This window comes from Homo sapiens, chromosome 9 (assembly GCF_000001405.40).
Source record: "Homo sapiens chromosome 9, GRCh38.p14 Primary Assembly".
NCBI lineage: Eukaryota > Metazoa > Chordata > Mammalia > Primates > Hominidae > Homo > Homo sapiens.
In genome coordinates this window covers 20,907,245-20,932,391 of record NC_000009.12, presented here as the reverse complement: position 1 = coordinate 20,932,391, position 25,147 = coordinate 20,907,245, and the positions used below count along the sequence as shown (strand labels likewise).

Here is a 25,147-nt window from a genome sequence, read left to right as displayed (position 1 = left end):
GTGGGCTTCATCACTGACATTTTAGTAGCTACAGGTTCCTACGTCTTAACTCTCATATTGCTACTTCAGATCATGGTAAGTGGAATGTAACTCCAGGAATGACAACCAGGCAGAGAGCACTTTTTTAAACATTTTCCCAAACCAAGACTATAGCAGTTTTGCCCAAGGTGAAGGAATTTTTGCAATGAAAAACAAATGCCCACACGCACACCCCTCATATCACACACACAGACTTAATAGCTTTAACTAAATAAATCCTATAAAAGTTGTCCTTTGGAGTAAAATATACTTAAATATCCTAAACAAATGTTAAAGAGATCATTTTTGTATTTTCTGGGGGTTATGACAGAAGCAAGAAGCTGTGGAACAACATTCCACAGCTTCTGAATAAATTTTAGATGGAACTTAAATTCAGGAGACTTTTTCATAAGCCTTAGCAAAAATTGAAATGATTTTCATAATTCTCCCCCCCTTTTTTTTTTTTTTTTTGAGATAGAGTCTTGCATTCTCACCCAGGCTGGGCTGGAGTGCAGTGGCACAACATCAGCTCACTGCAACCTCAGCCTCCTGGGCTCAAGCAATTCTCAAGCCTCAGCTTCCCGAGTAGCTGGGACTACAGGCATCTGCCACCATGCCTGGCTGGTCTCAAACTCCTGGGCTTACATGATCTGCCCGCCTTGGCCTCCCAAAATGCTGCAATTACAGATGTGATTCATAATTCTCTTCTACATGGTGATTTCTTAGTCTCTGAAAAACAACATATTGTCCTAATTCTGTTCCCATTAAAGGACCACATTGGGACACATTTGATGTCACTGACTAGTCAAAATCAACAGCTCTCAAAACACTTGCTTTTAGAAAAAAATTTAAACTTTCTCCAAAGATGAAATTCTCTGTTAGCATTGTTACTACCTGGTAAAAAATTTATTAGTATCAAAAGGCAAATATTTGAGATTCCTCAATTCCAACAAATTGGGAAGGTGGGAGCCATGAATAGTTATGTTAGTAATGGCATTACTAACACACAGGCCCTAAGTAGAAGGAGGATGCTATCAAACACAGGAACGTTAGGGCAAAGTTAAAATCTGTAGTTATTCTGTGGGTGCTCAGCTAAGGAAGGAGCTTCCTGATGTCTTTGCCCAGGGTTTCCTTCAGGTGTGAATTCAAGTCAGACAGACAGGAATGGAAGACAACCTAGGAAGCAGGGTCAAGTGTTCTGGGGGAATCATCATAGGTTTCTCCAGGCAGCATGATTAAGTTAACCACAAATGCAAGCTTGTCAGCCTAAAAGCAGCAGCATCTCCTCCTAAGTTAGTGAAGAAAGGAGTCAGAGCCAGAATAGGATGAAATGAGTTGCCTAGAATTAAACTGCTACGGCTCATTTTTAGTTGCAAAACATGTTGCTTGAAAAGATACCAAAGAAAGAGCATGAACACAGATGGTGGAGAGACTGTCATTTGTAGCATAGTAGCAAAGGGAAAAAATCACTTTCAAGTTTTAAGTCTTTAAAAATAGTTTGTGTTCTGTCACACACACAAGATATGTAACAGTCAAATCACATGCAAAGGGCAGTTTTTTATTCATCTCCAGAACAAGACCTATATTTATTAGTGATGGTGAACAGGACGAAATGAATATTCTGGCCATATTGCACTTATGGTCTCAAAGACTAAGAGAATAATCCCAATCATCTGACAGATGTTTCTAAGAGCTGAAAATGATCATCTGAAATATGGTATTCCCCAAAATCAATAGCAATTCACATAAAAGTTTCACATACTTGTGTTTGTGAAGAACTTAATCAGTGGTCTCAAACTGAAATAAATATAGCATAGTGTCATCCAGTTTATCCACACCAACACCAGTTCTTGCCTTTGGACAACTAATTTCTGCCAACCAGGAATTTAAAAGAATCTAATATCACAACAGAATGCCTCTCCCTACTATCATATTTCCAAAGTAGGAAAACAGGGCTAAATGCCTAGTCATTGACATCAAAATATTCATGATAAGCAAGTATTCATATTGTAGCCCACTACAATCAATGTAGATATATAAAATTCTAAGAATTGCTAGAAAATAAATAATAAGCAGTATGAACAACAAAACTAAAGCAGACTGATGCACTAAAAAAACCTTTCCGATTTAGTGGAATTTTCCACCTGAGTCTATTCCATTAGCTCCATTCAAGGGTAAATAAAGTTAGCAGTCCAAAAATGAGCAATCAAAGTGAACAAAGCACACAGTATAATATGCACAGATTAAGACTCTTTAAGGATTATAAAAATGTGGCCAGGGCACAGGAAAAAAAGCAATATTTAAAGCCGGGTACATGTAGTTCTCAGGTAATTCAGTGATTCCCAACACCCCTTAGGCACTAGAGATATGCCAATCCTCTCCTCTCATTTTCAATGATATCAACAAAAGATTGGCAGTTATTTTCATCCCATACAAACCAGAAAAAAGAAGCTTTTTACTTATAGCACCATAACTTGACTTTTCTCATGTCCACCACACATAGGTACCTGGGGCTTTCATCTAAGCATGAAATGATTTTCAAGTAACCAAACACTTTAATACTAGCAACCCTTAAAATACATTAATACCTACACGATGGTATTTTAGATAGATAAATTTACTCCTAAAGAAGAATAAAGGATCAACTTGCCCATCTCAGAAAGTTTAGCAAACACATATTGCTCAGATACAATGTTTATATATAGGTGCATATGGGTGCAAAATCCTTTGCAAAAAATCACAAAGAAGAAAAGCAGGAATATTTTAATAAACTGTACCTGAGTTTCTCTTCACACAAGCGAGAGAGAAACATCCCTAAAGCAAGGCCCATGTGGATTTGCACGGCTTGAGACTCATCAGCACTTGGTTTCCCAGGTAACCTGGCAGTCAGCATGTTCAGGATTTCCTCAACCTTCTCTTTGCAAGAGATAATGAAAACTGGCACAAGGAGAGACAAAGCCGTGGCGGCAGCAGAACGGGCAATGGCACTAGCTGTGTTTTCACCAGAATAGGACTTCTAGGACATGCCAAAGAAAGAAAACAGGGTTAGCCTTAAACATGAAGGAAGCATACCTATCATAAAAGCACTATACAACCACACAAGCTTCTCTTAGATCCACCCCGGCCGACACCCAAAATAATACATTTTTTAAAAATCCAAACGTTTTTGTCTATAGATTATGTTTTCATTATTAATGAAATGTTTTGCTACTAAATAATTAATAATATCCTTTTAAATCTGAAAAACCAAATTACAAGCGTCTTCCTTTTAAAGGTTATAAATTCCCTCACTATAAGGCTTGAAACAATTTCAGTGTTCCTAAAAGCCCACATGTATATATATTAAAAAAACAAAAAAACAGAAAAACAAACAAAAAAAAAACTGAAGCTATCTGAGCTTGGACAAACCAGCAAGCCACATTATAAATGTCCAGAAAGCTAGGAGTTTTCCAGGGAAGAAAGGAAAAGGGAGGAAGAGAGTTTAAGTTTAGTATGGAGAAGCAAGTATAAATTTAGCACAGGGATCTATTGGCACATCTCCCAAAATTTTTGGTGGGAACACTTCCCAGTAGATGGATTATTTCCTACAGGGGGTTAATTCCTTTTAATTAAAAAGGAAGTTGAAATCCTAAAAGCCTTTGGTTACAAAGCAATAACCAGCTATTCAAAATGAAATGGAGAGCTCTATATGCCCCTTCCTACATGTAATTATGGGAAAAGAAATGAATAACAGCCCTAATAAAATGACAGAGCAGCTGAATATGAACAGCTTCTATAAGAATCCCAGGTTAGAGAGCTCTACCAGACGTTATATACATTTATAAATATGTCTCAAGTGGGAAAGAAAGCCCGTTTATCATTCCTCACTATTATCCAATTTAAAGTTTCAGACACACCATAAGGGCAGTGTTGTCCCTTGCAGTTAAAGCACATTAAAATATGTTTTTAATTCTAGGCCCATTCGCTCTCTAAGCTTTAGTACTTTAAGGATAAAAATCAAACGTACTAAGTTACACTTTAAATTAATATAGCACTGTTTTAATGATAATGTTACTCAAAATGATCCAGCTGGTAGCACACATGAAATAAAGTGACTTTTAAAACAGGGCTTTGAAAAGTATGGTAATGCAAAACCTCACAAAGGTAAGAGACAATCAGAGCTGACTAGTAAAGAGATTATTTTTATTGGTTTGCAAGAACTAAGCAGCATATGAGAAATTTCATACAGTGTCCTGCTCTGGTGAATACCTGAACTAGATAGTTATTGCAAAGACCTCCATAAGCATCTAAAGTTTTCATTCATCATTAAAGAAATAAGAACACTTCTGACAGAAAGTAAATCATCATAGAGCAATTAACTTTTTGAGCAAAATTTATCTTCCAATTTAATTCTACATCATCTGGTAAGTCATTTTTTTTTTTTTTACCTCAACTATGGTTAAAAATCTAGCTCTAAACCCAAAGCCCCTGATGAATACATACCAGATCTTCCCAAGGGCAGGACAGAGGCACACAAAATACACAGAGAAGACCTTCGGCATTAAGGTTTTAAGCTAAATTCATGATCTTAGCAACAGTTCAGAATCTGTGTTATATTTTTATTAAAATTAACTATAATCCTCTGCCACTCAGCTGATTGTCCCATGACCATTATAATTCCCTAGGCAATGGATAGTAATAGGGTAGGACCAAAATACTTCTACAAAGACACAGAAATAAAGCATGTACTACGACCAATAAAAGGAAAAGGAAACCAAAACAAAAAAGTGTTTTCTCATTTTGCTTCAAATCTTAGAATACAAGCATGAAGACAGAGGATGGGTAACAGGTGGCTTTTTTTTTTAAATGATCAACAACATTACTTTGTATTTATAGAGTATTTAACAGTTTTCAAAACTTTTTACATAAAGTATATTATTTGATCTTCACAATCTTTTTAGAAAGTTGGCAAAGCATTAATTTTTACTTTCATTTTGCAGATAAGAAAAATAAGAATGATGAAGTAAGTGTCAACAGTCACAAAAACAAGAAGTGGGGAGCAAGGGCTACAACTACTATAGATGATATTTTTCAATTCCTTCATTTTATAAATCAGGACAAAAAGACTCAAAGAGGTTGAGTGAATTGCCCAAAGTCACACAATCTGAAATGAAAAAAATCTATGACTAGAAACTTGGAGTCCCCACATTTCAGCCAATGTTTATTCTACTACAACTGTAGCTCTTGACCCTGACTACACATTAGAATAACTGAGAGAGCTCTCAAAATACTGATGCCCGGAGTTTATCCATGAGCAATTAAATCAGCAGTGGGGACTACACATTGGTATTTCTTTTATATATATATATATATGTCTATACATATATATTTCACATTATATATGCATATGTACGTACATATATAACATTAATATTTACACACATATTTCTTATAATTTACATATATAATATTTTCATATTTTATATAGATAATATTTCGTGTGTGTGTGTATTTAAAGTTCCCCAGGTGATTCTAACAAATAGCCAGGGCTGAGAATCATTACACTATATAATGGATTTCTTTTTTTTTTCTTTTTCTTTTTTTTTTTTTTGAGACACAGTTTTTCTCTTGTTGCCTAGGCTGCAGTGCAATGGCGCGATCTTGGCTCACCATTACCTCTGCCTCCCGGGTTAAAGTGATTCTCCTGCCTCAGCCTCCTGAGTAGCTGGGATTACAGGCATGTGCCACCACGCCCGGCTAATTTTGTGTTTTTAGTAGAGATGCGGTTTCTCCATGTTGGTCAGGCTGGTCTCGAACTCCCAACCTCAGGTGATCCGCCCACCTCAGACTTCCAAAGTGCTGGGATTACAGGCGTGAGCCACCGCGCCTGGCCTATATAATCGATTTCATGTGACCAACTGATGTCATAAGAGTCAATTCTTGAGTTTTCTGATCATTTTTTATTTTTTGCACTTACATAATAAAACCAGGAGAGAAGTTGCCCTCTGGGTTGGTAATGGCTATCCACAATGACCAAGAGTGTATCAAGTACCATGGAAACCCACTCTTTCATTGAAAGGAAATTAGGTTGAACCTGCAGATGAATTAAAAACATGAAATGATTACAGAGAAAACAAATCTAAAGATATTTCTAAATCTAAGGTGTAACTCCCTTCTATATTAAACAATAAAGTGCTGTTATCAAAAAGTAAACTTCATCTGCTTGGACTATAAGCATGCACGTATGAGGTATACAGGTAGTTGACAAATATACATCCTCACCTGTGCCCCAAAAGAAATAAGATGTATCTTTTATGAACAAATTAGCAGAAGAGGATAGATGCTGCAAAACAGAACTATCCAAGAGCCCTTCAGAGCTCTCCTGCGTTGAATGAATTATAGTGAAGATAATATGGAGGTTAAAAGGACAGATGTGCAAAAAACATAATTCAAAATTTCTCATTTCTATGACTTCTTATTTGACAAAGGAGGCAATAAGCAGCCCACAGAATTCAGATCAACATCTCTAGCATTTCTGGTGACTATTACCATTTAGTTGTCATTTCAAGAATCTTGACAACATTCACCCAACTCACTGAAAGATTAGGTAGAAAACATGAATCATCTTCAGTTTGAAAAAGAAGAGGAAGAGAACACAAAAACAAAACAACAAAAAAAACCCCACTCATTAAAAATAAAACTTGGTTATTAAAGTCATTCATGACCATGGATGTCAAAAGCATTCATTAACTCACATGGTAACTGGAATTATTGTAATTCCTTGAACCAAACAAGGCTGTCACATCTTCAAATCTTTTGTTGGTGGTCACATGCAGGTTTGAATAATGTTTGAAAGTTTCAACTTTAATCAAATAATGAGGTCTTGAATTTGCATTGAGTAACAGCCAAAGGCAAGGTCATCATGAATAAAAGCAAAGCCTCATCTTTGGACTGTGTGGTTTCTCAATGTGTGTTGGGGTGTGTTGGGGTGGAGGAGAAAGTAAGAGAGGCTGGAACTCAAACTCTGAGCTAGACCCCTTTATTATTGGGGAAAATTACTGTATAACTGGTAGTTCAACAAAAATAACACCAAAGTGAAGGGATCATAGAAAGGGGCATTGACATTTTAGGTTGTAGATCTATGCAGCATGTTGCCTCTGCTAAAATATTCCATGGCTCTCTGAAAGACATGAAACATTTCCTCTCTATAAAATTTCCATCTTTCTTATCGGTAAGATTCTAAGTTTAAAATTAAATTTTCATAAGGTAATTAACTAATATCATTCATGCAATAATCCCTTGGCCTCTTTCCCTTCCCTACATGTAATATATATCCATGGCTTTTGCCACACAGCACCTATTCTCTGTTTACTGGTAGTAACACCCTTTGCAGAGTTCCGTCTTCCCCACTGTTTGAAGGTTAGTTAAATGCTCAATCAAACTAGCTGTCCTACACTGTCCAAGGGGTAGGCCTAGGACCCAAAGGACTCTGAATTTTAAGTGACATGAGGATAATAAATGACTGAAGTTGTTCTGGCCCACTGGAGGTGGTCTGCTTAGATGTTTCATTAGTACCTGTTGCCTGGACTACCCAACTTGCCCTGGTTCTTGTTCTTCCCAAAATACAGTTTTTAAGCTTTGCCTTTAATTCCACGGGCTTCTAGATTCCATATACTTCCTGTTCCTTTTTGGTTTAAATGAGTCACCAGAGTTGATTTTTTTAGTGTACCACCAAAAAACCCACAACAACAAAAAAAGAATACAGATAGCCCATAAGATACTCATTGAGGACAGAGACAGACTGAATAATTTTGAATGGTTATTATTAATAAGAGCTTAGTATCTATGAGCTGTTGTGCTTCACATATATTAATTCATTTAATCCTTCGAACAATCCTATCTGGTGAGCATTGTTATCCCTCCATTTTACAGATGGAGAAATAGGTTCTGAAAGAGGAAATTGCTACAAATAGGCCATAGAGGTAGTAAGTGGAAGTAATAGGATCTAAATATAGGACTTTCTTATTCCAAAGCCTATATTTTTAACGACTCAGTTATGTCATCTCTAGATGATGACAGCTACCAGATAATGAGACTTAAAACAAGAATAAATCCATGCCTTTTTATTTAGACAGATATGAATTATCCAAGAAAGTACATTAGAAATGAACAGTGGCCAGCTCACCACATGTTTAATTAAGAAATAACTGCCTTGCAAAAATGAATAGGCACTTTGTCATTGACATATACAATTAAAATGCAAAGTACATTTTTTTCAGTCAATAAACACTGCTTATTTATCATTTTGACGGCATTGTTCACTTTCAGTAAGCCTAGTTAACCTTGTAAGATTGGTTACCATTGATGTAATCACAAAAAGATAACCCCTATGGCATAAAATTGGCACCTTCAAATAGAAATGACCACTTAACTGTGATGGAGAAAGGAAAACAGAAAAGCAGCAAAGTTAGGAAGACACTGAGGCTCACAGTATAAAGGCCCATCAAGTACTATAACTTGGTGCCATAATCACAGAATCTAACCTTGTAAGCCCAGGGCCAGGCTACCTAAAGCCAGGCTTAAAAAGACATAATCAAAGCCAATTGTTTAAATCACCCCAACTAACCTCCAGGAGCCCGTCAGAGTCTGAGGAGAGGCTGGCTTCATGTCTAGATACGACGACAGCAAGGCTGCTTAGAGCTAACAGCGCATTGCCTTTCACTACCGGACTCTCCCTGTTCAAAAGGAAAAAAATTTCAACAGAGAACTTTGGTATTAACCAGAAGAAGAGAAAGAGCTAATATAGGAGGGCAGGTGAAGTCAAAAAGCAACTTGTGTTCCTTCACAGAGTCTTGTAAATGCAGGTCTGTTTGTTGTGTTAGGCCAACAGTTTCTTTCCTTCCTTCTGACTCTAGAGCTGTTTCTGAATTCTTCTTATCAATGTAGTATGGGTCATTATGCCTTTTCATAACTTAAAAATCCAAGCTTAGTAAGTTGTTTCTTCCTAAATTTTTATTTCATCTATTAACATTACATTTCCTAGGATCTCTTCTGTGTCATCTTTGGCCAATTTAAAATTATTGATTTGTTGTAAAGACATAACTAAGACAGTTATGTCAATAAGCCCAGCAGAATAGAACAATCTTTGGCTTTTCTGAAGCACCGGTATGTTGAACTGGCTTCTAGCAAACCACTTCAGCCTGCATACCTTACAACTTGACACACAGCAGCTTTTCTTACTCATTTTTATCCTCTCCTTCTTTCTCTTAATATAGCAAAACTATCAACCTTAAACCCAGTTTGTAATATAATTTGGAGACCCCAGATAAGATGCAAATGAAAAAGGGCTGTTTTTAGACTATTTGGACTGAAAGTTGCCTTTTTACATCATCTAAATGGTAGCCTTCTAATATCAGCAATAAACTCTTAAGAGTTTGACTTCTGAATTTAACGTAAAAACCTGAACCTTTTTAATATACTTACCACTTGAAAATGTACATTTAATATTATTCCATAATTCCAAGCTGATCCTATAAAGTCCCCTATGGGACACCAATCAGATGCTCTAGGTTTGCCAATTCGTTTATAACAGAACTCCAGCAACAAGAGCACCCATACCATCAGATCGTTTAGTCCTCAGTCCTTTGATGTGGGTTCCCATAAATACAATGTTCCCCAAAATTTGGACTTCAAACCCGAATCTGAATTCAGTGCATGATCCAAGAACCACTTCCTGCTTACCTCAGGGCAGGACTATAACAGATATGAGGGATAAGGAAGATTTTCAGCTCTGCTCCCTAAATGAGCCTAGTACCTCAAGTCCCAAGCCATAGTCTCAATTGAAGACTTGAGTCAGTGGGTATTAAATTGCTGGCGCACATGTGTTCTTGCATTTCTGCTTTCATTTGGTAAGAATGGGACTCAGGACTTGCCATTAACAAATCCTTCCTATCTATTCGCCCATCCTTCCTTCCCCCTCTCCCTTCCACTTTAGAGTGGTTAAGCTCTGTGAAGACTTGAAGCCTTGATCATTTTGTTCACCACCACCCCCCCACCTCAATGTATTCCTCTATAAGGCCTGTCAAAAGTTAGCAAGACATCAACGTTTATAATGGGGAGGGTTGGAGGAGAAAATGGGAAGGAAGCCTTGAGGTCTAAGCAGATGGCCCCAACCTGGGTTTTGCTAGAGTTCTACAAAGAGAATTACAGAGCACTCATATAGCTAATAAGAAAACACAAGGAAACAAGGTGGGATTTGGTCATTCCTAGGTGCCCTAGCCATAAAATCATTTAACAAAAACAAAATTAAATCTTTTATTTCTAATATTATCTCTTTCTTTTAACAGAATATCCTGAGGCCTTTCCTACTGCAAAATGGTCATGAATCCCTAAAGGTGAGTTTTAAAAACAGTTCTAAATTTTGAGTGATCTGAGTATTAGAGTCCCAGTTTTATTACTCTGTAGAAAACGTGAGGTCACTAGAATCTGGGTATCAAAAGTCATAAAACAAATATATTAGACAAGATAACATAAAAAGTTCTTTTTAACCCCAAAATTCTGAAAGAGAAATTAGCCTCGGTTTTAAAACAGTACCAAAAACTATTTTATTTCAAATCCTTCACTAGTCTTGACATATCTGAGTATGTATTGTTCTTAAGTAATGGAGAAAAATTTATTTAAAAACACTGGTAATAATATATTTGGTTGCAGAATGAACACATATTTGGATAATAATCTTTGAATTAAAAACCTAGTCCACTCTATACAGTGCAGCCCTAGGCCAAATTACACATTTCACAAAGGTACCATGACTAACTCTTGATCATCTTCGCATTCCCTTCATGCCTGCCACAATGACTTATGGATAGAAGGTACTCAATACATACTAAGTGAAACAAATTCAAGGAGGAGCTGGAGAGGTGGGAATCTATAACTGGTTCAGTAAAAACTCATCACCTTGTTGCTCAAATAACTATCCCCTACCAGTCAAACAAGAGAGACTAATTTGCATAATAACATGTCAGCTTCCACAGAGTATTTATCTAGGCAACACCACCGACGTTTTAATTAAATTGTCCTTTAAAACAAAATGATGTTATTAACCTAATTAAAAAGCACAAGGAAGGCTGAGCTACAATGATGCTTTCTTAGGGACAAAGTATTACATTACATATTAGTAAAGTGACTCAATACTTCAGTGATTTTTATCTTCAGGTTTAAATCTGTTTAATAAATAATAAGGGAAATAAATTCACATCAATCATCAGGTTTTATACGTGTTCTGACTCTCCCTTACCCCTATCCCTGAAGCTTTAAATGTTCTTTTTTATTTTTTTGGATGTGAAAATTTGCTAAATTTTTATTGACTCGACTTTTTTTTGTTTTCACCTTCATTTATTTATTTATTTATTTATTTTTTAATTTTATTATTATTATACTTTAAGTTTTAGGGTACATGTGCACAATGTGCAGGTTAGTTACATATGTATACATGTGCCATGCTGGTGTGCTGCACCCACTAACTCGTCATTTAGCATTAGGTATATCTCCTAATGCTATCCCTCCCCACTCCCCCCACCCCACAACAGTCCCCAGAGTGTGATGTTCCCTTTCCTGTGTCCATGTGTTCTCATTGTTCAATTCCCACCTATGAGTAAGAACATGCGGTGTTCAGTTTTTTGACCTTGCGATAGTTTACTGAGAATGATGATTTCCAATTTCATCCATGTCCCTACAAAGGACATGAACTCATCCTTTTTTATGGCTGCATAGTATTCCATGGTGTATATGTGCCACATTTTCTTAATCCAGTCTATCATTGTTGGACATTTGGGTTGGTTCCAAGTCTTTGCTATTGTGAATAGTGCCGCAATAAACATACGTGTGCATGTGTCTTTATAGCAGCATGATTTATAGTCCTTTGGGTATATACCCAGTAATGGGATGGCTGGGTCAAATGGTATTTCTAGTTCTAGATCCCTGAGGAATCGCCACACTGACTTCCACAATGGTTGAACTAGTTTACAGTCCCACCAACAGTGTAAAAGTGTTCCTATTTCTCCACATCCTCTCCAGCACCTGTTGTTTCCTGACTTTTTAATGATTGCCATTCTAACTGGTGTGAGATGGTATCTCATTGTGGTTTTGATTTGCATTTCTCTGATGGCCAGTGATGGTGAGCATTTTTTCATGTGTTTTTTGGCTGCATAAATGTCTTCTTCTGAGAAGTGTCTGTTCATCTCCTTCGCCCACTTGTTGATGGGGTTGTCTGTTTTTTTCTTGTGAATTTGTTTGAGTTCATTGTAGATTCTGGATATTAGCCCTTTGTCAGATGAGTAGGTTGAGAAAATTTTCTCCCATTTTGTAGGTTGCCTGTTCACTCTGATGGTAGTTTCTTTTGCTGTGCTGAAGCTCTTTAGTTTAATTAGATCCCATTTGTCAATTTTGGCTTTTGTTGCCATTGCTTTTGGTGTTTTAGACATGAAGTCCTTGCCCATGCCTATGTCCTGAATGGTATTGCCTAGGTTTTCTTCTAGGGTTTTTATGGTTTTAGGTCTAACATGTAAGTCTTTAATCCATCTTGAATTAATTTTCGTATAAGGTGTAAGGAAGGGATCCAGTTTCAGCTTTCTACATATGGCTAGCCAGTTTTCCCAGCACCATTTATGAAATAGGGAATCCTTTCCCCATTGCTTGTTTTTCTCAGGTTTGTCAAAGATCAGATAGTTGTAGATATGCGGTGTTATTTCTGAGAGCTCTGTTCTGTTCCGTTGGTGTATATCTCTGTTTTGGTACCAGTTCCATGCTGTTTTGGTTACTGTAGCCTTGTAGTATAGTTTGAAGTCAGGTAGCATGATGCCTCCTGCTTTGTTCTTTTGGCTTAGGATTGACTTGGTGATGTGGGCTTTTTGGTTCCATATGAACTTTAAAGTAGTTTTTTCCAATCCTGTGAAGAAAGTCATTGGTAGCTTGATGGGGATGGCATTGAATCTATAAATTACCTTGGGCAGTATGGCCATTTTCACGATATTGATTCTTCCTACCCAGGAACATGGAATGTTCTTCCATTTGTTTGTATCGTCTTTTATTTCATTCAGCAGTGGTCCGTAGTTCTCCTTGAAGAGGTCCTTCACGTCCCTTGTAAGTTGGATTCCTAGGTATTTTATTCTCTTTGAAGCAATTGTGAATGGGAGTTCACTCATGATGTGGCTCTCTGTTTGTCTGTTATTGGTGTATAAGAATGCTTGCGATTTTTGCACATTGATTTTGTATCCTGAGACTTTGCTGAAGTTGCTTATCAGCTTGAGGAGATTTTGGGCTTACATGAACAAATCAGGATCATCCCATGATTGGTATGTCACTTTTTGCATTTAACTTCTAGCTCTGAACAAAACAAGCCATACCCTGACCCAAACCAGCCTGTGGCAGCCGTAGCTAAGGAAAGGGAAGCTAAGCTGGCAGCGGGCAGTGGTGAAGGCCTCATGTTGGAGGAAGCCAGTGGGAAGAAGCAGAGAGGGTGACAGAATGATTTTTTCCCCTGCTCTATCACCAATCTCTCAGCCTCCAGACCTAAAATATCTCTTATACACTTGCTACCATTCCTAGTATTGTCAAGATTGCTTTATTAAAATAAGGTCTATAAGATACTTTGTAAGTTTTTTTTTTTTTTTTGAGACGGAGTCTCGCTCTGTCACCCAGGCTGGAGTGCAGTGGCGGGATCTCTGCTCACTGCAAGCTCCGCCTCCCGGGTTCACGCCATTCTCCTGCCTCAGCCTCCCAAGTAGCTGGGACTACAGGCGCCCGCCATTACGCCCGGCTAATTTTTTTGTATTTTTAGTAGAGACGGGGTTTCACCGTTTTAGCCGGGATGGTCTCGATCTCCTGACCTCGTGATCCGCCCGCCTCAGCCTCCCAAAGTGCTGGGATTACAGGCGTGAGCCACCGCGCCCGGCCACTTTGTAAGTTTTGATGAGAAGGTAATACCATGAGAACATGAATTAGTTTTACTCATGTAAACATATTTTCTTTAGGTATTAGTCACGAAGTGATACTTTGTGAATATGAAAATTACAGTCACACTGGAGTAAAATTTTAGAATGGAAAATTGCAATATCTACTAGACACGAGGAATTATAATTTGCTTTAGGAGAAAGTTGGTAGTTTCTTCTGCATTCAAGTTTTTGCAGCAAATGTCAGAGCACTGCTTTTAATAGGATATATGTAGACTACATAAGAGAACAAACTATTACAGGTAAAGGTCAAAGACAGCCTGCATTCTCATCCCAGCATCCCCTCCCCCTCTGATATGCAACTGAGCCCTCTCCCACTATGTCTGCAATTCACCAAAGTGGGAAAACAAGACAAGAATGAGTCTCCATCTAAGCTCTCTGTACTTTAGTTTTCATTTTATCAACAGATATTTCCCAGTGCCTTCCATAGGACTGAGTCAGGGGAGGATTATCACTTCTATTTCTCTTTATCCAGAAGACATGAGACTGAACAGTGATAATCTGCTGAGATCAGACTTCACAGTTAAGTGTCTGTTTAAGAAATTATTGATAGAAAGCTAACTCTAAGGTAGATCATTTTTTGTTCTGTTTTTAAGGCAAAATCTATTTAGCTACAGAAGGTTTTGTGACATGAAAAGGATAAACTATACTACAATTAAAAATTTCTGGATGATATGGACTTTTAATACACATGAAATCCTCTAGGTCAAAGGTATATCTGTGTTGGTTGGAGGCAAGAAAGAAAGGAGTCAAACAGAAATGGCAGCAGTTAGAGAAGATGGTGGAAGGGAGTGTAACTGGCATGTAACTTACTGCCAGGAACAATTAGTCAGCTTGTCAGTTGACAAAGGAACCTGAAGAGATTGTTCAAGCAAGTTTCGGGTATTTTTTAGTGAGAGCTGGCTTAAGGTAAATAAAAAGCATCAAGGCAGTGACACTCAAGTAATTTTTGTTAAAACAACCATAAGCATATGACTAAAACTGCTTTTTAAATGGGCCTTGGCATTAGTTTTTAGTATTTAAAAATTCAATTTTTAGATATGCGGAACCCAATAACACCAATGGAACAAAAGGAAGTACTACCAACATAACTCATATTAGCAAGGATTCCTTTCTTTTTTTTTTTAATCCCCTCGAACTAAATTACAATCCTTTAAGTTTAAGCCAAAGCACATGTCATCTGTTAGGTATACAGCAGGGGCTCAACTTCAGTGACTCCTGATGTAAAAGTTATATGTTAGTACCAATCCTTCTGTATTTTCACAAAAAGACATGTAGTAAGAATTCACCTACTATAAGAAGGGTAACGATTAATTTTTTAAAAAAATAATTGAAAAGTACTCTAAAATCCTTAAAATTATGAAATGCCCTAAAAGGAGAAAATGTATGTACCTGCCAGGAAAAGGTATTTATAAAAAATGTTTGATAAAAGACTAAATGGATCTTACTTTGCAGCTGCCTTGGTGATCTCATCAGTCAGCATGTCTCTAACCCTGCAATAAAGATGGAAAATAGACGAGAGTTTATGTTAGAACAAGAAATCATTCCTTTCTCTTTTTCATCAATTAATAAGAACCTCCAGCAATGGCTCCAGATCTTAAAACTATACAGGTAGAATTTCAGTATAAGGTGAAAGAACTGTAATAAGGGCTCTGCTTTACAGATAGCTTCATCTTCCTGTTCATAAGGTCACTGAGTGGAGGCAAGGAGGAGGTGAATATGTAACTGAGGGGGGATGTACAGATAGCACTGTAACAGTATTATCTCAGACAGCGTGGTGAGTATACAAGTGTCCATTATATTACTCTCTTCAATGGACTGAATGTTTGCATACCCCACCAAATTCACATTTGAAATTGAATCCTAATCCCCAATGTGGTGGCATTTAGAAGCCCAAACTGACTAAGACAGTCTCTCTTTTTTACATGAGAGCTCACCAAAACATCAATTTACAATTTTCAAATTGTACATATGAAATAGTCGCTATGTGTTTATAGAAAATGCAATTTCAAACTTTGGTTATATAGTCACAGGAAAGCCAAAAGAAAATAATTATACTTGTGGGTTAGAAAGAAGGTAGGCACAATTCAAATATTTACAGAACCTAATTTTTAATTCAATATAGAATTTTCAATATGAAGTAAAAAACAACCACTTGCTGTCAAATTTACTTTTTTAAAAGGATCATTTTCAATATAAACATTGAATTTTATAAATTCGAAGGTTTTATAAATATTGTTAAAGTTGTTGCATTTAAATATAAATTATATTGACATTCATAAATATTTGCATTTGATATATAATAAAATCTTAGCTATTCAGCACTCTGAGAATGAGTCACTCTTAAGAGACAAGTTTTTCAGACAGGTGCAACACCTCCTATAGATCTCAATCTTGTATTTTTTAAAAGCATTTGACTGCAAATTTCTCTAAAATGTACTGTTTAATTTCCGTATTCCTAAATGGAATATAGTCCATTCAATGTAATATTTCATTGGTCAGTGTGGAATATTTACAAATGATGACCTATGTATACTTACATTTAAGGTCAAACCTTCCACTTGTGCACTAAAGCTACCTCTCTACTCCCTCCTCTCTGCTGCATCACAAATTTTTCCATCTCTACTTGTATTATTTCCCTTAGCATGTGAACATACTGTAGTATCTACCCTCTAAAAGAAGAAAGCAGAACAAGCCCACCAGCTATTGCCCCATTTCTTGGTCTGTTATACGTCAAAACTTGTGTAAAAGATTATGCTTGATGACTCTCGTTATTTCCTTCCACTCTCTCTAGATCCTTCTAGAACCTGGCTTTTGTCTCAATAACTCTACCAAAAGAGCTCCTGTCATGACCACCAATTATTTTCAAGAGACTGAATCTAATGCTCAATTCTCAGTCCCTATCTTCTGCAGCCTAACAACAGTATTTGACACAGTTGGTTGCTCCTTAGAATGCCTTCTTTCCTTGGCTTTTAAGATTTTACTCTCTTTTGGTTCTCTTTCTACGTCACTGATAACTAATTTTTCGTCTGCTTTATTGGTTCCCTCTTCATCTTCCCCACCTTTAAATATAGAATCAGGGCTCAATCTTTTGAAATCTTCTCTTTCTTTATTCACTCCCTAAGTGACCTCATCCAGCATCATGATTTTAAATGCCATCAATATGCTGATGTTTCCTAAATTCACCTCTCTAGCTCTGAGCTCTCCCTGGAACTATAGACTAGTCAACAACCTGCTTGCTATCTCTAATTGGAGGCTAATGAGGCATCTCAGGCCTAAGTCCAAAATCTGATTCCTATTCTACGCAGACCTGCTTTTCTCTAGTCTTCCTTGTCTTAAATGGAAATGCCATACTTTTGTTTAGAGTTAAAATCTTGGAGTATCTTTGATTGATCCCTTTCTTTCACATCCTTCATTTCAATTATTAGCATTTATAACGTATGATATCTGCCTTAAAATAGATTCAAAATCAATTTACTTTTCCACACTAACATCCTAGTCTAAAACACTATTATCTCTTGCCTAAATTATTGCAACGGACTCCTAACCATGCCCCGCAGGGTGTATTTTCAACATAACAGCTGGAGTGGTCCTTTTAAATCATGAGTCAGATTCTGTGATTAAGATCTGCCAATGTTTCTCCATCTCACTCACAAAGTCCTCTTTGTGCTGACAAAGACTCTCCACCCTGCAATCTCCCGAACTTCTCTACTCTCATGTCCACTACTTCCATCCTTGCGCTCTCCATGCCACACAGGCTTTGCCAGGTACACTCCCAGGGCCTATGATGAATTCGCTGTTTCCTCTTCCTAGAATGCTCTTCTCCAGATATCAGCTTGGCTCACTCCACCACTTCCTTCAGGTCTCATTCAAATGTCATATTATTAAAGAGACCCTGAACACCGTACAGAAAATGGTAATGCCACCCCTCAACCTCCCTCAAGCCTCATTCACTCTCTGTTCCCTCTATCGTACTTTATTTTTCTTCCATGAATCAACTTCTATCATATTCCATTTGTTTATTTGTTTATTACAGGTTTCCATCTACTCAAGTATAAGCTTTGGAGGGACAAAGAAGGGGCTTTATTCACTGCTGTTCCTCTGTGCTTAGAACAGTGCCTGGCACATGACAGACACTCAATAAATACTTTTTGAAATAATAAATCAAGTGATGACTTTACTTAGATTTGGGATTGTGTTCCAATTAAGTGAGGATGAGGAAGAGCTCACTTCAAGGTAGCTTATTAGTTACTGCAGGTTTAACTGTATCTTTTTTTTTTTTTTGGAAAGACAGAGTTTTGCCATGTTGCCCAAGCTGGCCTTGAACTCTTGGGCTCAAATGATCCACCTGCCTTGGCCTCCCAAAGTGCTGGGATTACAGGCATGAACCACCACATCCAGCCGAAATCATTCTTAAGAAACTTCTAGGGACCTAACTCCTTTATACTCATATATACACAGCCCATGAGTTTTCACTAGGAATATGTATTGATAGGTCTCTCTATATATTTTAAAGAACTTAGCAAATATACTACTTCACCAATTATCACTTTCAGATGATTAAATTTAAAATAGATGCAAAAGATAAGAGCAAATAGGATACAAAACCCTCTAATCCTAAATCCAATATCATAATGTTTTAAACTTCATTGCCATTTTTTGATAAATCTAGAAAATATGACTTAGAATACAATTAATCAAATACATACACACAGTTTCTCCTTTTCTACATGAGCCAACTGTCAGTAAATGAAAACCTATAATTAAATAATCTTCGGACAGATTTTTAGATTAAAGCAACCTGTGGTTGTAGGCAAAGCTATTTAGACTTTAGGCACTTTACTTACATTTAGGCTGGTGAAACACAAATCTGATAGAGTATTCTTCTCAACCCATGAAACAGTTTAAGTTGCTTTTATGAGCCAGCACTAATATATTTCTAGATGATATAGTGGGAATTCCCTGGGAAATGTCTGCCAAAGAAATTAAACCCATGACACGGTAAAGTTGCTCCTAATAATTATGTCTTGGGGAAGAGGGGAGCAGAGGAGGGGAGAAGTAATCCTTGACTACATGTGAGGTAGGAAAGCAATGAACAGAGTGGGAAAAAAAGAATTTTTCATTCAAAAGCATATAAAATAATCAGTTACAGGTAGAAAAGGGAAAAAGCAAACTGTTTCCACATTGTTTTAGAACGTGTGTGTGTGTGTGTGTGTGTGTGTGTGTGTGTGTGTGTGTGTATGTATAATTTATAAATAAAGCTCTCTATCTCCTATCTAGGGAATACACCTATCAGCTCTTCTGTCATTTCCCCTTCAGGCTCACATATAGAGGTTAAACCTGCTAATCTTAAAGCCTTTAAAGTAGTTACCTTTCCCCTCATAGCTCACTTCCCATGACAAATAATGGGCAGCTGAACATGAACACTTACCAGAGCCAGGCTGTGCTTTTTTTGTACTGCACCTCCTCAGGTTCTTCTTTTCCATGTTTTAACTGCAACTCCAGCTCTCCTAGTCTTCCCTGCAAAAATCACAGCATAAATCAGCATGTGAACTCGATGGCTGAAGTGATCTTAAAATTTCTTTGGAAAACACAGATATATCCTTTTCCATTTGGCCTTAAGTGTTCTGGGTAAGACATTAGATTATGAAAGAGGATGTGTGAGGAGAAATCATCACATCAATGCTCAGGTATTTCTACATTCACCAAAGAGGTAACATCCTAGAGAAGTTGTATGTTTGGCAAATTTAGTGCAGAGAATTTAATTTTGAGATACCTACTGAATCAAATTTGAATTTCAGAGACCCCATTTAAAAAATCTACCTGCTAGTGATCTGCCTTTGTTAGCAACTGATAATTTTAGCTAACACCAAAATATACCAAGATTGGGGACCATACACCAGTATTATAATAGAAAACTAGAAAACAAGCTAAAGTATGTAACACTTAAGATTCCGGTAAGATATAATATAAGTTATTCTCCAACAGCTCTACATTACACTTCTATTTCTTGAGTGAACTTATAAAAATAGGTACCATAATTCCCAAATTCTAGCATGTGAAAAAAAATATTGCTAACATTGTTCCTTTAAGTCCAAGGCCTTTAAATATGTATTATCTTTTCCATTTTTTTACTCAGAATTATTTTAATCAGATGCTTCCCCCTCTACTCCATCACCAATTACATTATCTAAATTATCTATAATTAAAATACTGTTTGTTGATGGGCCCTAACTTGGACAAGAATTCAGCAGTGTAATGCCCAACCATTATCAGAAGTAGATGTGCCAGTTTACATATCACAAGCAGTAAACAAGAGTTCTGGTTACTTCATATTCTCACCAGCATTCGGAATTGTCAGGCTTTTAATTTTTTCCATTTTGGTGGATATGAAATGGTCTTCACTATGGTTTTAATGTTATTTCATTGTTTACTAGTGAGATTGAGGATCTTTTCATATCTTCTTAACTATCAGGATTTTTCTATTCTGTCCATTTCTCTACTAGCTGTCTTTTTCTTATTGATTTTAAAGTTCTAAGATATAGTGTATAGAAGAAAAGTATGTATCTCTCCATACTTAGAAAAGTGATACACATTGAAGAGTTAAGGACATGGGCTCAGAATGCCTCGGCCTAATGCCATTTACACCTACTGGCTGTGTAAATTTAGGCAAGTTACTTCACTTCTCTAAGCTTCAGTTTCCTCATTTGTAAAAAGTGGCCAACAAATATCTTGTGGTATTAAAGCATCACATTAAATAGTGCCTGATAACAAATAATAGCTACCGTTATTAGATTTGTTGTCAATAACCAAAGATCTCTACCTCCCTCTTATTTTCTTACAAAACCGTCTTTCATGAATTTATCTAAATATCTCCTGAAATAATTCATATTTTTATCTGTATAATCTCATGGAGTAAGAGGTCCCAAAAATGTAATATCCAGACTATAAAGTTATATGTCCTTGTACTTCTCAAAGTTGCTCACCCTGTGAGGTCAAGGACTATTTATCGATCTACAGAGTTTGTGTATTTAGCACAACTCCCGACTCACCATACCCTGGGGCTCACCAGTTCAGGCACTCTGAGATGTAACGGACACTGTATTCACATCCTTCATAGTTCATTTGCTTCAATCATATCAATCCTCATTCTCCATACTTTCAAAGATAGAATTCTGGCCCTTTCATTCTCCCCTTTGTTTCTTGGAAATTAGCAAGATATTAATATTGGCCTCCCAGGAGTCCAGGCAAAACAAAGTATAAAACAATTTTTATTGCCTGTCTCAGTTATGCTTCTTAAATTATGCCTCCTTACTCCTAAAACATTTCCTATAATGCTTTTCCAAAAAAGACAAGGAACAAGAAATTTTAAAAATCCGTTTAAAGATAAACAAAACACAAGAAAACTAGAATACATGCACCTTCTTAAGAAGGCCTACCGTTTTAATCTTCCCTGCAGTCACAAATCAGCACGACCATTCTATTGTGACTAAGTAGTTTTCATGTTTTTTCTTTCTCTGAGTCTCTGTTCTTTTCTATCCTCTTTTCTGGAATGTCTCCCTTATTAATCCCTGCCACCCAATCTATGTTGGGCTATTTACTCAGATCCATGGCGCCTTCCAATTCTTGACTTACTGGTAATAGAGAGATCCAGCAGCATTCAACTCAGTCATCTCTGCTTTCTGATTAACATTTTTGGGAAAACACATACTGGGAGCAAAATGGCTAAAGTGATCACCTGAATTGAGATTTTTTTGGATTGCCTGTAGATTCCAATGATTAATCTAGCTATCCCCTCTGATTTTTAATCTTTAGCCTGTACCATAAGAACTTGCTGATTATAGTAAGCAATTTCACCTAGCTTCCTACACATTTAAAACAAAACAAAGATACACACACAAAAAAAGCAAAAAAGGTATAAATTGCCATAGAGTAACTTACTGGAAGCTGCAGTTCCTGATCTGGGCTCTGATTTCTGGTTATTTGGCAACTAGCTGGCCAATTCATGAAAAATGTCTACAGTCAATTTGCTTTCATACCTCTCTCCTGTTTGAGGTCACATTCACAATTCCAAAGAGCCCTTTTCAAAAAGGCTGGAGACCTTAACCTCCACAGCATCCCAGAAGGGTAACAAGATAAAGACTGCAGACGGCTCCTAACCAAAATGGCCTCTGTACTGTCAGTTGGCTTCTATCTGCATTTTTTATCTTAATGGGAAGAAATCTAAATACCTCTCCCCATGTCAACCACTTTGATATATTTATAGTTAAAAACCCCAAGTTCCTATGGAAAAATTAGGTAAGGCTTGAAGCAGACGTCTAAGCAGAAGCTACAAGTAGTGTTCAGATCTCAGACTTACATCCTAATTAGCCTCCAGGAAGTAATGGAGAATCTACCTTTTAGTGCATTTCCTAGGCTTAATTGAATAAAACATGGCACCTCTAAATGATCCTCTAGTTTAATGCTAAAAAATACATCTAGCACCAGATGGAAGTAACTGTAATTCCTGTACAGAAAAAGTGTCTTCTAGGACCGAAATTCTTGATATAGACAAGGAGTCTGGCAGTTGCTCCAATTATTCTAAGATACCATAAACTCTATTTAAGCGTGTGGACTCATTTAAAAAACTTGTTTAAGCATAAATGCATCAGTGTACTTTCAAGTAATAGTGATAGCCTAAATCACACTGCTGTATTTTTAAATAATACTGCAAATCTTATTTTAATCCATCCTTTCACTTTCTCTTCTTTTGTCACCAATTCTCAATGGAACTGGACTTACTAGAAATACAAAGTAAAGGGATTTTAAATGATAAATAAAGATACCAACCATCACCTTAATAGCAGAATAATTGACCTGCATTGCTAAAAATTATGAATAATCTGCAGGTTTTTCATAGATCAAATAGATTTGCCCTTTAAAATATTAAACAAATTTGCATTATTCATTATAACAATTAATAACCGTGTTAGGGAAAATACATGTCACAGTGGAAAACGCTAAGGCTCTGGAGTCAGGTTAAGTTCCTGTATTTTCATTTAGTGCTTGTTGGGTTCCTGAGCTGTTTGCTTTGCTTTCCTAGCTAACCCTGCTTTCCCATCTATAATCCCATTATACATGGGGTTAATAACATCTACTTCAAAGGGTTTCTGTATAGATTAATTGAAATAATATATGTTAAGTACTGGACACACACTAGTTACTCAACAAACCATAGCTCTTATTTAAAAATTCATGGCTTTTTTTAATCAATTGCAAGTCATCTGCAGAATTATACTATAACCCTATTCAATTTAGCCTTTCTTACACTAAGAGCTAAATAGAATTCTTAGTTCATTCTGCAGGAGGAGGAGCTCTTCATCCCTTTCTCCAGGTGCCCATAGCATTTTGAACATCCTTTATTAATGCATCAAAGATACTGTACTGGAATTGCTAGTGGGCATGTTAGCCTCTCCCAGTGGACTGGGAGCTCATTGTGAGGAAGGAGTGCCCTCAGTATCCCACACACTTAGCATGGGACCTCCCCAATAAAACATGTTACATAAATGTTTGGTGAAGAAAAAATTCAACATTGCTTAGGGAAAAATGAATGTGAGAAAAAGTACATACTCTGACTTGCAATCTTATGTTTCCTGACTAAAAACTGTAATTGGCTCTTAAAGAAATATAGAGACATGAGTCATTCATTCATTCACTCATGCATTTATCCAAAACATGCTGGGTGCCCAGATGCTGCTGAAGATAAAAATTGAGTAAGGAAACAACAAGCAAAAGAAAACGATGGTTCCAAAGGAACATCTTTAAAATGCAGATTACAGTACATTTAGGGGATCTTCTAAAACTGTTTGCTCTAAGTTTGGCTGGTAGACTACGTGGATTTAAATCACCTGGCAGCTTGTAAAACATGGAGATTCCTGGTCCCCTATTCACTTCTAATATATCAGAATCTCTGAAGATACATTAGTGTTTTACGAGTTCTAAGATCTGTAAGATGGGTTGTAAAAAGGTTTTAATTTGAGATTAGAACACCATTGCCCAGACAGTCATTCCTCTCACCCCATCCTATGCCCCACTCTCACCCCGCCCACCTCATTTTATAGGACAGCTGTTATCTCTAACCACAATACCTCACTTTTAAGCCTTCACGGAAATCTTACTCTGGGACATAAATTACTTCAGTAACATCGGATTTCTCCTATTATCCTTAATAATCAATTTTAAGCTACGAAAAACAATTAAGCTAGTTGTTTTCTTGTATTGTTAACTGTATATTCCCCAACTGATTAAAATTATTTCTAAATTTAAAAATTCACAAACTATAACTTATAATATTATTGGATCAAATAAACTCAAATTGAGTATATCTCATTCATTTAGTGAGCACCTAGTACGTTTAGACACTTATGTCAGGGCCAGAGACAACAGAGCTCCTGTCCTTAGGAGTACAGAGACAACTGGAAGTCCTCGCCAAATAACTAACATGATAAGGGCTTCAAAAAGGAAAGCTCAGATACAAGAAGGGCATATAATCCAGTGGGGAGAGAAGTAAGGCACATAGTGCCTGACCAGATAAATTGATCTAGAGAACAAGTAGAAATTAGGTGGGTAAAGAACAAGTAAAATTAGGTGGGTAAAGAGGGAGTGGCAGGGTCAGAGACAGAAAGAATAGTGTGTTTAAAAGCTAAGAGGTTAGGGAAGACATGCTGAGTTTAGGAAAACAAAGAAATTTAACAAGACTGAAACATAAAAATATGGGGGAAGGTTTAAGAGATCAGGCTGGAGATGTAAGCAAGTCCAGCTTGAGGAAGCACAGGTATAATGGAAGACAATGAGCTCAGTTTGGGATGCACTCAAGTCAGGTGCTGTGGGGCAGCCAAGTGAGGATGTCCAGAAGGCAGCAGGATGGAGGAGACTGGCACTCAAGAGGGAGTTCTGGATGGGACACATGGATTTGGGGGGCATTGATGTTTAAGTGCAGCAATGCTATATATATATGCCTCACATTCTTTTATGAGTAAAAATAACCATTACATTTTTGGTAGTGCTATTTTCCCAAGTGCTTTTATATTAAATACACATTTGTAGCAAAACATGAGATAAGGAGACATTTCGCCAAAGCAAACCTATCCTGTGGTTTCATT

At 36.9% G+C, this 25,147-nt stretch overlaps 1 protein-coding gene across 19 annotated transcripts in view; it reads right to left on the bottom strand.

Moving 5' to 3' along the window:
• The window catches only part of FOCAD (focadhesin), a 340,326-nt gene that overhangs the window by 63,559 nt on the left and 251,620 nt on the right, over positions 1–25,147 (bottom strand). For all 19 annotated transcript variants that reach the window (XM_047423537.1, XM_047423539.1, NM_017794.5 and 16 more), the window contains 5 exons: positions 19,438–19,526; positions 15,455–15,499; positions 8,624–8,732; positions 5,975–6,091; positions 2,796–3,034 (listed from right to left, as the gene is read on the bottom strand). In XM_047423537.1, coding sequence (XP_047279493.1) covers positions 2,796–3,034; positions 5,975–6,091; positions 8,624–8,732; positions 15,455–15,499; positions 19,438–19,526 — 599 coding nt within the window. The remainder of the gene's footprint in view (positions 1–2,795; positions 3,035–5,974; positions 6,092–8,623; positions 8,733–15,454; positions 15,500–19,437; positions 19,527–25,147) is intronic.